Below are 14,648 nucleotides of genomic sequence, written 5' to 3'. Positions count from 1 at the left end.
AAGAAGTCTGATTTCTCAAGATTATGTGAAAAACAGCTATACAGTTTTGAAGCAATGCTTTGTGAGTTATTTAAAAATTACACCTGTACCACAGGTCTTTGGATAACAAAACAAATGTATACTTAAGATTTGATGGGCTGGGTGCGGTGGCTCATGCCTGTAATCCCAGCACTTTGGGAGGCCGAGGCGGGTGGATCACGAGGTCAGGAGATCGAGACCATCCTGTCTAACATGGTGAAACACCGTCTGTACTAAAAATACAAAAAATTAAACGGGCGTGGTGGCAGCCGCCTGTAATCCCAGCTACTTGGGAGGCTGAGGCAGGAGAATGGCGTGAGCCCGGGAGGCGGAGCTTGCAGTGAGCCAGGATGGCGCCACTGCACTCCAGGCTGGGCAACAGAGTGAGACTGTCTCAAAAAAAAAAAAAAAAAGATTTGTTGCTCTTGAGCAACTTGATGCTGTAAAATTCAGAATGTCTTCAAGTGTATGGTCCAGAAATATAGTCTGGAGTTGGTAAGTGGCAAAGCCTTTGATAAACATGGCCAGTGACCTCTGAATACTCCCCAAAGCCAGCGTTTTCTTCTTGTACAGTGCATAAGATTTATTTATTTTGAAAATCCTCATACTAGTTTGGAACCAGTAGAACCTATGGTTAAACTGGCTGCATTGGAATTAGCTGTGGACCCAAATCCTAACTCTGCTACTTTCTAGCATTGTGAATTGGGCAAGTTCCTTTCATCTTTCTCAGCCTTAGTTTAATCATTTGTGAAATGGGAATATTGTGTACCTGAATACAGTAGTGGTTATATTTAGTGAATCATGTATGTAAGACACATAGTATTGGGTAGCTCAAGAAATAATTTTAGTTATTTTTTCCTTCAATCTTAAATGACTCATATATATCAGCTAGTTTCAATTCAGGCAAACCAGAACACTCTGAAGAGCATATACAAGAAATCCCTGAAGCAAAAAAGGGGGAAAAGCTAAAAAAAAAAAAAAAAAAAAGGTTATAGTCCAGGAAACTCATTTAATAAAATAGCATGTTGCAAAATTTGAATTTACCCAGTTTTTTTCTTCTAGTTAGTAGTTTTGGAAATCAGTATTCTTTGAACTAAACACTGAGAAGACATTTCCTATTTTGTTTTACAAGACATAGTATAGTATATGAGGACCTGTATAAGAAAACAGGAAGAGCCTACTTGCTTCTCTGTCATTTATTAGCTGAATAACATTGATCAGACCGCTTAACTTTTCTGGGCCTTCTTGCCACAGGCCTGCTTTAAGAGTTTTTTTCTAACCTAAAGATTACACCAAAAAACATTTAGAACTGATCAACGAATTCAGTAAAGTTTTAGGATACAAAATCAACATACAAAAATCATTAGCATTTATATACACCAACAGGGAACAATCTGAAAAAGAAATCAAGAAAGCAATCTCATTTACAATAGCTGCAAAGAATATAAAATACCTAGAAATCAATTTAACCAAAGAAGTGAAGCATCTATACAAGGAAAACTATAAAACACAGGTGAGAGAAATTGAAGAGGACACCAAAAATGGAAAAATATTCCATACTTTTGGACTGGAATAATTAATATTGTTAAAATGATAACACTTCCCAAAGCAATTTACTGACTCAATGCAATCCCTATCAAAATACCAATAATATTCTTCACAAATATCGAAAAAAATCCTAAAATTTATATGGAACCACAAAAGACCCTCAATAACTGACAAAATCCTGAGGAAAAAAGCCCAAAGCTGGAGACCTCACACTGACTTCAAAGTTTACTACAAAGCTATAGGAACCAAATCAGCATGGTACTGGCATAAAACAGACACATAGGCCAATGGAACAGAACAGAGAACCCAGATATAAATCCATGCATTTACAGACAACTCATCTTGGACAAAAGTACCAAGAACAGAGGGGAAAGGACATTCTCTTCAATAAATGATGCTGGGAAAACTACATAGCCACATGCAGAACAATGTAACTAGACCCCTATCTCTCACCATATATAAAAATCAACTCAAAATGAATTAAAACTTAAATATCGGACTTGAAACTATGAAACTACTAGAAGAAAACATTTGGGAAACACTCCAGGTCATTCGTCTGGACAAAAACTTTTTGTGTAAGACCACAAAACACAGGCAACCAACACAAGAATAGAAATATGGGATTTATATCAAGCTAAAAAGCTTCTACACAGCAAAGGAAACAACAAAATGAAGAGATAACCCATAGAATGGGATAAAATATTTGCAAACTACCCATCTGATCAGGGATTAATAACGAGAATATATAAGGGGCTCAAATAACTCAATAGCAAAAACAAATAATCTGTTTTAAAAATAGGCAAAAGATCTGAATAGACATTTCTCAAAAGATCTGCAAATGGCAAACAGGTGTATGAAAAAATGCTCAATATCACTACTCAGAGAAAGGCAAATCAAAACTGCAATGAGATAACTTCTCATCCAGTTAACATGACTTTTATCCAAAATATAGGCAGTAATTCCCCCCCCCTCAAAAAAAAAAAAACCACACCTAAATACAGGCAATAGTGGATGCTGGTGAGGATGCAGAGAAAGGTGAACCCGTACATTGTTGGTGGGAAAGTAAATTAGCATAAGCACTGTGGAGAAAAGTATGGATGTTCTTAAAAAAAAAAACTAAAAATAGAACTACCATATGATCCAGCAACTCCACTAATATATATGTGTGTATATATACATACACATACATGTGTGTATGTATACACACATACATATGTGTGTACGTATATATGTATGTGTATGTATACATACACATACATATATACACTATATATACATATGTGTATGTGTGTATATATACACACATATATGTGTATATATGTATATGTACACACACATATGTGTATATATGTACATGTACACACACATATATATGCGTATATATGTACATGTACACACATATATGCGTATATATGTACATGTACACACATACGCACATATATGCGTATGTGTGTACATGTACATACATATATGTGTGTATATACATACACACACATATGTGTATATATGTATACACACACATATATGTATATATGTATATACACACATATATGTGTACACACATATATGTATATATACACACATGTGTGTATATATGTATACATACACACATATGTGTGTATATATGTATATGTACACACATACACATATATATGTGTATATATATGTGTATATATATTAGTGGAAGTTTTCTTAAAAGTTTTATGTAAGTTTTCTTAGGAGAGAGATATATATATATCCCAAAAGATATATAGAGATGTATATCAGATATATCAAAAGGGTATTTGCTCTCTGTACTCCCATGTTTATTGCAGCACTATCCACAAGAGCTAAGATATGCAATCAATCTACCCATCAATGGATGAATGGATAAATAAAATATGGTTTATATATACAATGGAATGTTATTCCACCATAAAAAGAATGAAATCCCATCATTTGCAGCAGCTTGGATGGAACTGGAGATCATTATGTTATGTGAAATAGCCAAACACAGAAAGACAAATGTTGCATGTTCTTACTCATATGTGGGAGCTACAAAGGTGGATCTCATGAAGATAGAGAGTAGATTGGAGAATACCAGAGGCCAGGAAGGGTAGGAGGGAGTGGAGGATGAAGAGAGATTGATTAATAGGTACAAACATATGGTTTGATAGAAGAAATAAGATGTAGTGTTAGAAGGATCAGTAGGGTGACTATAGTTTACAACAATCTATTGTATATCTTGAAATAGCTAGGAGGGAAAAATTCCAATCGTTCTAGTATAAAGAAAAGACAAATATTTAAGATTATGGCAATCCCAAGTATACTTATCTTTACACATTATATCAGTGTATTAAATGATCATATTTACTCTGAAACTATATTATGCATAAATAAAAAATAAAATTTTCTTACAGATACAATTGAAGTCCCTTTTAAAATTCCTTGCTGATTCCATTCTCCTTCCTACCTCCTCAGAGGGAACCACACTATATCTACTTCCTATAGCAGATGTTGTTGGTTGCCTAGACAATATTCATGCCTTTATTTATAGAATCTCAATTTTCTTTAGCTATCTACTCTGCTTCTAGAGGACATGCTACTTAAGAGAGGCAGGTGCCAGCCACCAGCCCAGGAAGACTGATTGGTTTAAGCCAGTGATGGTGGTGTACCATTCCTCTTGCCAGAGTTTGGTTTAGGCATTGGCATGTGATACAGTTTTGACCAATGAGACACGAGGGAAAGTCTTCCAGGGACTTGTGGGAAAGATTTCCTCTCTCCTGAGGGAGGCACACAGAGGAAGAGTCCTTTCTTCCTTGGAACTTCGGTGTGTTGAGATGTGATGCCTGGAATGTTTTAACTTCTGGGGTCATGAAGGGAGTCAGATTGTGGAGAAAGCTGACATGTGGAGGATGGCAGAACAGAAGGATGATATGAATCTAGGCTCTTTGTTTCTACCGTTTGGCAACCGAATTAACACTGGAAACTCTCTAGTTCTGTGTTCATTATGCATTACAATAAATTCCTACTTGTGATTCATGCCAATTTGAGCCACAATTTTCGGTTACTTTTAGCTAAAAGCAGTCAAAATTATATATTTCTAGTCCAAGAAGTTGTACTTTTACTACATAGATGTTTTTATAATGATGTGTAATTGTTGTCTTCACACAAATGATCTTGTATCATACAAGTTGGTTTTTTAATTCAATGTTTAATTTTTGCCATGTTGATACAGTTTAAGCATTGTATAATTCATTGTATAAAAATATCACTATTCATGCGCTTATTGATGGACGTTTAGGTAAATTTTTTCCCTATTACAAATAGTTCTGCAATATCTATTCCATTAGACGATGCCACGTGCACATATGTGAGAGCTTCTCTAGGGCTGCACTATCCAGTGTGATAGCCACTGGTCACATGTAGCTATTTAAGTTAAAATTAAAAGTTCAGGTTTTTTGGCCAGGTGTGGTGGCTCATGCCTGTTATCCCAGCACTTTGGGAGTGGAGGCAGACAGATCACTTGAGGTCAGGAGTTTGAGACCAGCCTGGCCAACATGATAAAATTAGCTGGGAGTGGTGGCCTGTTCCTGTAGTCCCAGCTACTTGGGAGGCTGAGGGACGAGAATCGCTTGAACTTGGGAGGCAGAGGTTGCAATGAGCCAATATCACACCATTACACTCCAGCCTGGGCAACAAAGTGAGACTCCATCTCTAAAAAACAAAACAAAACAAAAACAAAAACAAAAAAGTCGCATTTTTGGTTGCATTAGCCACATTTTAAGTGCTCAATAGCTACATGTGGCTAGTAGTTATTGTACTGGATGATATACATATGGAAAGTTCCTGTCACTGTGGGAAGTTCTATTGGATAGTGCTGCTCCAGCACAGGGTTTCTGAATATTTTTCATAGGATGGCACCTGCAGAAAATGATAATATTTGTACAGCTCACTGGGATAAATAGATAAGGCTGCTCAAGTTTGGAGGAGACTGGTTCAGGGACTCTGGCTGCCCTAAGACCTTCTCAGTTGCCCTAAGGACTGAGGGATTGCTGATGTCTCATGTATCCCTGTAACTCACTTCCTGCCCATCAACATGCCTTGGCTCTGCTTTAGATGTATACCCAGGAGTGCTGTTGCTGGGTCATAGTGCATGCATGTTTCAATTTTATCAGATATTACCGTCTTATTTTCCAAAGTAGTTATTAACAGTTTATACTTACATAAGCAGTAAGTGCAAGTTCCTCTTTTCTTCTCCTTGGCAATACTTAATATTGGGAGATTTCTATATTTTTGCCAATCTGATGGGTGTGAGTTAATATACCATTATTTTAACTTGCATTTCCCTTATTTTGGGTGAGGTTGAACATTTTTTCACAAATGTAATTTCTTAGAATTTCCCGTGCATATCCTTAGTCTGTTTTGTATTATCTTGTTTATTACTTTAATTCATTTGAGGAATTATTTTTTCGGATGCTAACCCGTTTGCAAGTTATATGAAATGCCATGTATTTCGGCCTGTCGCTCATCTTTTAACTTTGCTTATGATATATGTTGTGGCACCAAAGTTTTAAACTTTAACATTGTCAAGATTATCAAACTTATTCTCTGTGGTTTGAGCTTTTATAGCTATATTAAGAAATCCTTTCTTATTCCAATGTCAAAAAGATAAGACTGTTGTATGTTCTTCTAAAAGTTTTCAAGTTTTACTTTTCACTTAGAGGAATTTAAACGGCTTTCATACCAATAATCAAGTTTTAAATTCTTAAAACTAGGCTGGGTGCAGCAGCTCACACCTGTAGTCCCAGCACTTTGGAGGCCAAGGCGGGTGGGTAGCTTGAGCTCAGGAGTTCGAAACCAGCCTGGGCAACATGGTAAAACCCTGTCTCTACAAAAAAATACAATAATTAGCCAGGTGTGGTGGTGTGCGCCTGTGGTCCCAGCTACTTGGAAAGCTGAGGTAGGAGGATCGATGCCTGGGAAGTCGCCTGGGAACTGAGATCGTGCCACTGCACTCCAGCCTGGGTGATAGAGACTCTGTCTCAAAACAAAAAACCCTCCAAAAACTTAAACGAAAAAAGATTTAATTCTGTCTCTGTCTTCCAGAATCCCCTACTTATATCTTTTTATAAATTTTTTACAGTAAATCAGTATGTATTGCCAAAATATATATATGGTCCTTTAAAAAATGAAAATTGATTTTTTTTGAGACAGTCTAACTCTATTGCCCAGGCTGGAGTGCGGTGGCACAATATTGGCTCACTGCAACCTCTGCCTCCCAGGTTCAAGTGATTCTTGAGCCTCAGCCTCCCCAGTAGCTGGGATTACAGGTGTATGCCACCATTCCTGGCTAATTTTTGTATTTTTTGTAGAGATGGGGTTTCCGCATGTTGGCCAGGCTGGTCTTAAACTCCTGACCTCAGGTGATCTGCCCACCTGAGCCTCCCAGAGTGCTGGGAGGTGTGAGCCACTGCGCCCAGCCAAAAATTGATATTTTGAAGAGTCTAAAATTTCCAGTTTTGCATATCTACTGGAAATGCAGTGTGAGTATTTTATTGTCTTTTTAACTTTTTAATGTACTCTGGGGTGGTAAAATGTTTGTCATCTTGTATATTTGTATTCTATCGATTCTCTAATTTGAATTATCAAGAGCAAAGGTCACTCTCCTTTCCCTCCACATGTTGTTACCTCAGTTGTCTCTGTCTTCCAGAATCCCCTACTTTGAAACTAGTGCTGCCAATGGGACAAACATAAGCCAAGCAATTGAGATGCTTCTGGACCTGATAATGAAGCGAATGGAACGGTGTGTGGACAAGTCCTGGATTCCTGAAGGAGTGGTGCGATCAAATGGTCATGCCTCTACGGATCAGTTAAGTGAAGAAAAGGAGAAAGGGGCATGTGGCTGTTGAGAAGTCAAGTAAGCGACATAGTAGTTCAGGTGGCCCATGCCTGGGATCTTCTCTATGATTGATACATGGCACAGTGAGAGATTAATGGGCATTGTGTACAAATTGCTTCTCACCATCCCCATTAGACCTACGAATAAAGCATCCGGTTCTAAAATTAATTTGTTGCAGCTTTGTAAATATTTCTTTAAGATTCAGCCTGAGAGTTAGGAGAAATATTTCAGAGCCAAAAGTGCCTTATACAACCTTAGCCTATTATAGTAAATCATTCAAGGATTCAGAATTTTGCAGTCACAGAAGAGTGTATTTATTATGTAGAATGAATGAGGGTACTGTCACCTGCCTTAATGTAGGTAGGCCCAGAGTCTTACATTTAAGATCTTACATGCAGTTATAAAACCGCCACAGTCTTCAATCCAGATTTGAAGACTCATGCCATAGGTGACATTCTAAAATACCATTAAAGCCACTTAAATGTTAAATAAGAATATACATGCACATCAGCTCAATGTCTTTGAGTATTAATTTTATGTAAGCATTCTATTTAACATGAATATAGGACAAATCATGGCTATATCTATAGACCTTGGATAAACTGGATTGACCAATTATACACTCACGGTGACTTTTTTATTGGTGGGAAGGGGATTGGGGTGGGGCAGGCTGGCTTAATGTAATATGAGCAACCAAAGTGGGACTTCTGTCTCCCCGCTATATTCCCATTGCTCTGAATGGTTGATTGAAGGGTCAGGGAACTAGATTTTATGGCTTTAGTTCACTGTGATTGTACATTTATACTTGGCCTATGTGCTGGCCGCACCTGAACATAGCTGGTGCTTATGCCGAGTTATTTGCGATGAGTAAATATTTAGTTTCTTTTTCTTCATATTTATAATGTTGATCTGGCATCCTCAGGCTGCAGCTTTATTAGCTTATAACTTACTCATCTCTATCTTTACCAGCAGGCTCTGTATTGTTGATATTTGCAACTTGTTTTGCTTTTCCATTGGTGGAATTGAAATAATTAGTTTTTAATTACATAAGATGCCTGTTTGCTATTTGGTGGAAGATAGATGTTCATATTGAAGCAGTCACATTTGTACTGTAGTTCAATAAAAGAAAAATGAAGTATTCTGTAGCCTATATTTTTCATAGAGCTCATGAGCATTTACTGTACTTGCTGGGTCTTGCCAAGATCATTTATTCCGCTGCATTGCCAAAGTGTCTTCATACCAAATTAAAGGTGGTTTTAATATATGTTTCATGGAAGTTGTTTATAAAATTCAAAGGTATTTCATTTAGGTGAAAAGTCTTATTTATTAAAGTGGTTTGAATAAAGTAGATCAAAACTTCCAGAGATCTTAATGGCTATATAGGAAGAAATATCACTCACCATAATTTAAATAAAGAATAAAAATACTTGTATTTTGTGGTGGCAAATGTTTGGTAGAACTGTAATTAGAAAAATACAAGTATATTTGCGTGATGGTTACACTAGAAGCCCAGACTTTACGACTACACAATATATTCATGTATCTAAACTGTACTTGTACCCCCTAAATTTATTTTTAAAAAAGGAAAAATAAAAGTATCATGAAAAAACCTATTTTTTTTTCCACTGTCCTTCCACTACTCCCATAACAAACTTATCCATGGTTGGTAAAATTTTACATATTTCTATCCTTGAAATGAAGGCTTCTTTTAAATTCCAAAGAAGTCATGGAGGCCTGTGCATTTGAATTGTATATGCTAGTGAGGAAAAGATTTAGACATTTCAAGAGCAGGGTTGGCCAGGCGCGGTGGCTCACACCTGTAATCCCAGCACTTTGGGAGGCCGAGGAGGGCGGATCACGAGGTCAGGAGATCGAGACCATCCTGGCTAACACAGTGAAACCCCATCTCTACTAAAAAAAAAAAAAAAAAAAAAATGGGCTGGGCGTGGTGGTGGGCACCTGTAGTCCCAGCTACTCAGGAGGCTGAGGCAGGAGAATGGCGTGAACCTGGGAGGCGGAGCTTGCAGTGAGCCGAGATTGCGCCACTGCACTCCAGCCTGGGCGACAGAGGAGACTCTGTCTCAAAAAAAAAAAAAAAAAAAAAGAGCAGGGTCATAATCACACAGCAGTGCCTTATATAGTTGCCATAAGACTTCAGTGCAGTACAACATAATTTTACAGCTACATATCAGGGCATATTCTATATGGTGTATTTGTGTTAGAATAACACATTAAATGTCTTTAAACATAAAAATAAGAATGTTTGCATGTTTCAGTTTTCAAGAACCAAATGAGTAATTAGCTATAGATTCCACTGGCCTTAAACATACAATTAAGTGTATACATGATATAGTGCACACACAAAAGCCACCTTTAATTATTGAAATAACCTGTATTCTTTTTGGAAATCATTTAAGTTTGGTATTGAAGTACTATATTTTTTGTGCATCAATGTATTTTTCTATTTACAAGCCTATGTAAAAGTGAAGTGTATCTTCAGTGAACCATGTGCCAATTAAGCTGTAATAAAAAAGTGGTCTAGTCTGTCAAATTTGTGTGTGAACGTAACTGTATTTATTATCACAAAGTTTCATACCAGAGGTTGTAATGCCAAAGGAAATGAAATTCAGGGATACACGTTCCATTAGGTGCTCACTGAGGGGCCAGCCAAGACAACATATTCTGGAAAAGTAATTAAAAATGTTATCAGGTTGGGCGCAGTGGCTCACGCCTGTAATCCCAGCACTTTGGGAGGCCGAGGCAGGCAGATCACCTGAGGTTGAGAGTTTGAGACCAGCCTGACAAACATGGAGAAACCCCATCTCTACTAAAAATACAAAATTAGCTGGGCGTGGTGGCGCATGACTGTAACCCCAGCTACTTGGGAGGCTGAGGCAGGAGAATCGCTTGAACCCAGGAGGCGGAGGTTGCACTCCAGCCTGGGCAACAAGAGCAAAACTCTGTCTCAAAAAAAAAAAAAAAGTTATCAAACATATATTGAGCACCTATATTTGGGAAGTGTTGTAGTAGACAATCTCAGATAAACAAAACAAGGATGATTGAGGCCTGAACTAAGATCATGCAGGGCTGAGAGATGATGCAAGAGACACTGGGGAGGGTACAGTCATGGACTGGATGAGGAGGGTATATGTGGAGAGATGGCTTCTCTGACCTTCTGACCTTATTTCTTACCACTGTCCAACTCACTCTTCTCAGGCACACTGGCCTCCTTGGAGCAGTCAAGCATGTTCCTGCCTCAGATCTCTTGCATTTGCAGTTCCCTCTGTCTGGAATGCTAGTGTTCCATGTATACCTCTCCTATCCTTTAAGACTGTTCAAATGCCACTTTGTCCAAAGAACTTTACTGACCACCTTATATAAAAGAGCAGTCACTCCCATTCATGGCCCCAACCAGATTGTCACTCCTTGACCTGTTGTTCTGCTTTGCGTTTCTTCATATCACTCAATGTAAATATTTCACCACCTGATGTATTTACAATTATTCTTAGCCAAGAGGCTGACAAGTGATTCACTTGACATATTTATATATTTGTCTACATCCACTAAGATACAAGCTCCACAAACAAGGACAGGGATTTAGGTAGTTTTCTTCAAAACTGTTACCGTCACTCAGAAAAAGGCCTGGTACACAATAGGTACTCAAATTTTTGTTAATTGACTGAGTAAAGGACTTAAAGAGGCAGCAGGGTCAAGAGAGTTTTCAAAAGAGGCCACTGTTAATGTTAAAAGACAGAAAAACGCAATTTGAAAATAAAAACAGCGTTAAAAATGTTTAAAAAGGTTCACATATAGTAAGTCCATACTAATTCATTGCAAGAAATCAAGAAATCTAGGCCAGGTGTGGTGGCTCATGCTTGTAATCCCAGCACTTTGGGAGCTGAAGTGGGTAGATCACCTGAGATCAGGAGTTGGAGACCAGCCTGGCCAACATGGTAAAACCCAGTCTCTACTAAAAATGCAAAATTAGCTGGGCGTGGTGGTTCATTCCTGTAATCCCAGCTACTGGGGAGGCTGAGGCAGGAGAATCGCTTGAACCCGGGAGGCAGAGGTTGCAATGAGCCGAGATCACGCCACTGAACTCCAGCCTGGGTGACGAAGCAAGACTTCATCTCAAAAAAAAAAAAAAATTAAGAAATCTGAGAGATAATTTCTGATCTTTTGAAGTTGATGTCAAGATGGCTAACAATCTATTTAAGACATGTTTCACTTGGTATTTTTATAAATTGGAAATCTCTATGGTGGTATTTCCAGCTCTTCTGTTATTGGTAATATAGGTATTTATAAAACTAATAAGCTCTTCCATTATAAGATACTTAGATAATGCTGGATAAAGTATGAACATATTTTTTAAAAATGTACCGATGATTTCTCAAAAAAATATGGGCAATGCCCTAAGACCACCTCCTTCCCCTTAAAAACAGACAACAGATGGAACTTAAAACAACCTGATGCTGATTGTGGTTTGCTTTTGGTTTGGTTTTGCCAGTATCGGTAATCAGGATGCTTTGTTATAATGGCTACAAAGAATTAGTAAAGAAAACCTTGGGCCTGTTGAGAATAGGGTGATGAAACTGCAGCCCTCTGTCCCCAAACACACAGAAATCCAGGACCTGCTCTATGGTTTTTTTTTTTTTCTTATTCTTCTTTTTGAGATGGAGTCTTGCTCTGTCGCCCAGGCTGGAGTGCAGTGGTGCGATCTTGGCTCACTGCAACCTCTGCCTCCCGGGTTCAAGCAATTCTCTGCCTCAGCCTCCCGAGTAGATGGGATTACAGGCACCCACCACCACACTCGGCTAATTTTTGTATTTCTAATAGAGATGGGGTTTCACCATCTTGTCCAGGCTGCTCTTGAACTCCTGACCTTGTGATCCACCCACCTTGGCCTCCCAAAGTGCTGGGATTACAGGCGTGAGCCACCGTGCCTGGCCAACCTAGTCTATGCCTTTAATCTCTTGTGAAAATTTACAACTACAAGTCGGCTTGAACACAGGTTTAAGGTTAAAGTGTATAATACCTAATTTTTCTGGGTATGTTCAATCAAGAAATTAACAAAAATTAACATTTTAAAGAAGGGATTTGTTCTGGATTACTTGGTGGAAGCAAAGCAAAAATGTTTACAGATGGAATTTCTGCACAGGCCAAAAAACACCCTACTATGGATGAGATTACAATGAAAAATTACAATCTATTTCTTCTTCATTCTTACCTCCAGTCATTAGCAAGGGCCAGCAGACCAAACAGCCAGCAGGATTTGGCATTTAAGAACCTCAAATAATATACTTATCAGAAGCAGACCATAAAGTCAAAGTGTTTAAGATAATCACAAACATGAAAGGAACTAAAAAATCCAGAAAAGAAGACAATATTAAAGATAACAGACTGGTTTGAATTAAAAAAAAAACAAAAAAACAAAAACTTCCAACAGTGAAAAATACAGCCATTGATATTCAAAACTTAATGGTTAGAGGTTAAATGACAGGTTTGACAGAGTTGAAGAGGAAATTCTAGAAGGCAGGTCAGAGGAAATTACCCATAATTCAGCAGACAGAGATAAGGAGAAAGTCCTGGAGGGGTTAAAAGACACAGAGGGAAGAAAAAAAGCTCCAACTTATATCTAGTAGGAATTCTATGAGGAGAAATTAGAGAAACTGAAGGAAGAGGCACTATATGAAAAGATAATAGCTGAGAATTTTCCAGTAATGATAAAAGACACATACCCTTAGATTTAGGAATCATAAATCCTAAGAAGGATAAATGGAATCATATTTCCAAGATTTCAGTTCAATCTTGTATTCCATTAAAATAGATGGAAAGAAAAAAACAATTTCTAAGGCTGGCTATACACACACTCATTCTAAAGTGAAGCACTGAATATGTTCATGGACTGAAGGGAACAAAGTCTCAGATGAAGCCTTAAGGTATGAAATTAAGAACACAGATAAATGATGTGGCCTCTGACATCAAAGGTAAGAGGGTAAACCTGGGTGTTCATGTATATGGGAAGGGTATAAAATTTCTTGGTGAAGTAGTAGGAACAAACAGAGTTGGGAAGGAACTGTGTAAAGTTTGCAAAGATTGGTGAGGCTCTTCCATAATTGTTGAGGAGGATAGGAGAGGAAGAGTAAAGAAAAGTAAAATAATTTTCAGTCTCTTGGTTGACAATAAAGTATTGGGCAGATGTTTATTACTAAAATTTCTGGTATGTGCCTTTGTTATTTAACATTACTCTGGAATTACTGGTCGAATGACTAGACAAGAAAAAGTATCCAATAAAAGGAAAAATGTGTGTATTTGAAGATTATAACTATACAAACTGATTCTAGAGTTAAAATGAAAAGATAAATGTTGAAGAATAGCCAGATAAAAAATGAATAAGAAGGACAAGGAAGGAAGGGTGATATGGTTTGGCTGTGTCCCCACCCAAATCTCATCTTGAATTATAGCTCCCATAATTCCTATGTGTTGTGGGAGGGACTTGGTGGGAGATAATTGAATCATGGGGCCAGTTTCCCCTACACTGTTCTCATGATAGTGCATAAGTCTCACGAGATCTGATTATTTTAAAGGGGTTTCGCCTTTCATTTGGTTTTCATTCTCTTTGCCTGCTGCCATCCATGTAAGACCTGACTTGCTCCTCCTCGGCTTCTGCTGTGATTGTGAGGTGTCCCCAGCCATAAAGAGTCCATTAAACCTCTTTCCTGTATAAATTGCCTAGTCTAGGGTATGTCTTTATCAGCAGCATGAAAACTAATAGAAAGGGAGAGGAGGTAAACCCAGTTATTCAAAAAATGACAATAATTTAAATATTTGGGCAGTGGCACATTAACAAATAAAACGATGGAACTGAGTCCAGAAATGGAGCCATAGATGTGACATTATGAGTGAGTGGGGGAAAGGATGCTTTATCAACATACAGCACTGAGGGAAAGACACTGGAGTCTTATGTCATTTATACTTAAATTCCAGACGAGTTGAAAATTCAAATGCAAAAAAATGAAACTACAAAACATAAGAGAAAACATTTTGAAAAACAATTTTGGAGTGAGAAGTGCAGTTTAAAGGAAAGTACCAAATCCAAAATCATAAAAAAATTGGATAAATCTGAATATATAAACAACATATTTCTGCATGGAAAAATACCATGAGCAAAGCTTAAAACATTGATAGGGAAATAATTTCT

At 37.7% G+C, this 14,648-nt stretch overlaps 1 protein-coding gene across 18 annotated transcripts in view; it reads left to right on the top strand.

Moving 5' to 3' along the window:
• Positions 1–9,998, top strand: part of RAB27A (RAB27A, member RAS oncogene family) — a 116,158-nt gene extending 106,160 nt beyond the window's left edge. For all 18 annotated transcript variants that reach the window (NM_001438970.1, NM_001438977.1, NM_183235.3 and 15 more), the window contains one exon: positions 7,259–9,998. In NM_001438970.1, the coding sequence (NP_001425899.1) occupies positions 7,259–7,457 (199 nt within the window). In that variant the 3' untranslated portion in view covers positions 7,458–9,998. The remainder of the gene's footprint in view (positions 1–7,258) is intronic.

The sequence above is a fragment of the Homo sapiens genome, chromosome 15 (genome assembly GCF_000001405.40).
Source record: "Homo sapiens chromosome 15, GRCh38.p14 Primary Assembly".
Lineage (NCBI taxonomy): Eukaryota > Metazoa > Chordata > Mammalia > Primates > Hominidae > Homo > Homo sapiens.
This window is presented reverse-complemented; position numbering and strand designations above follow the sequence as displayed.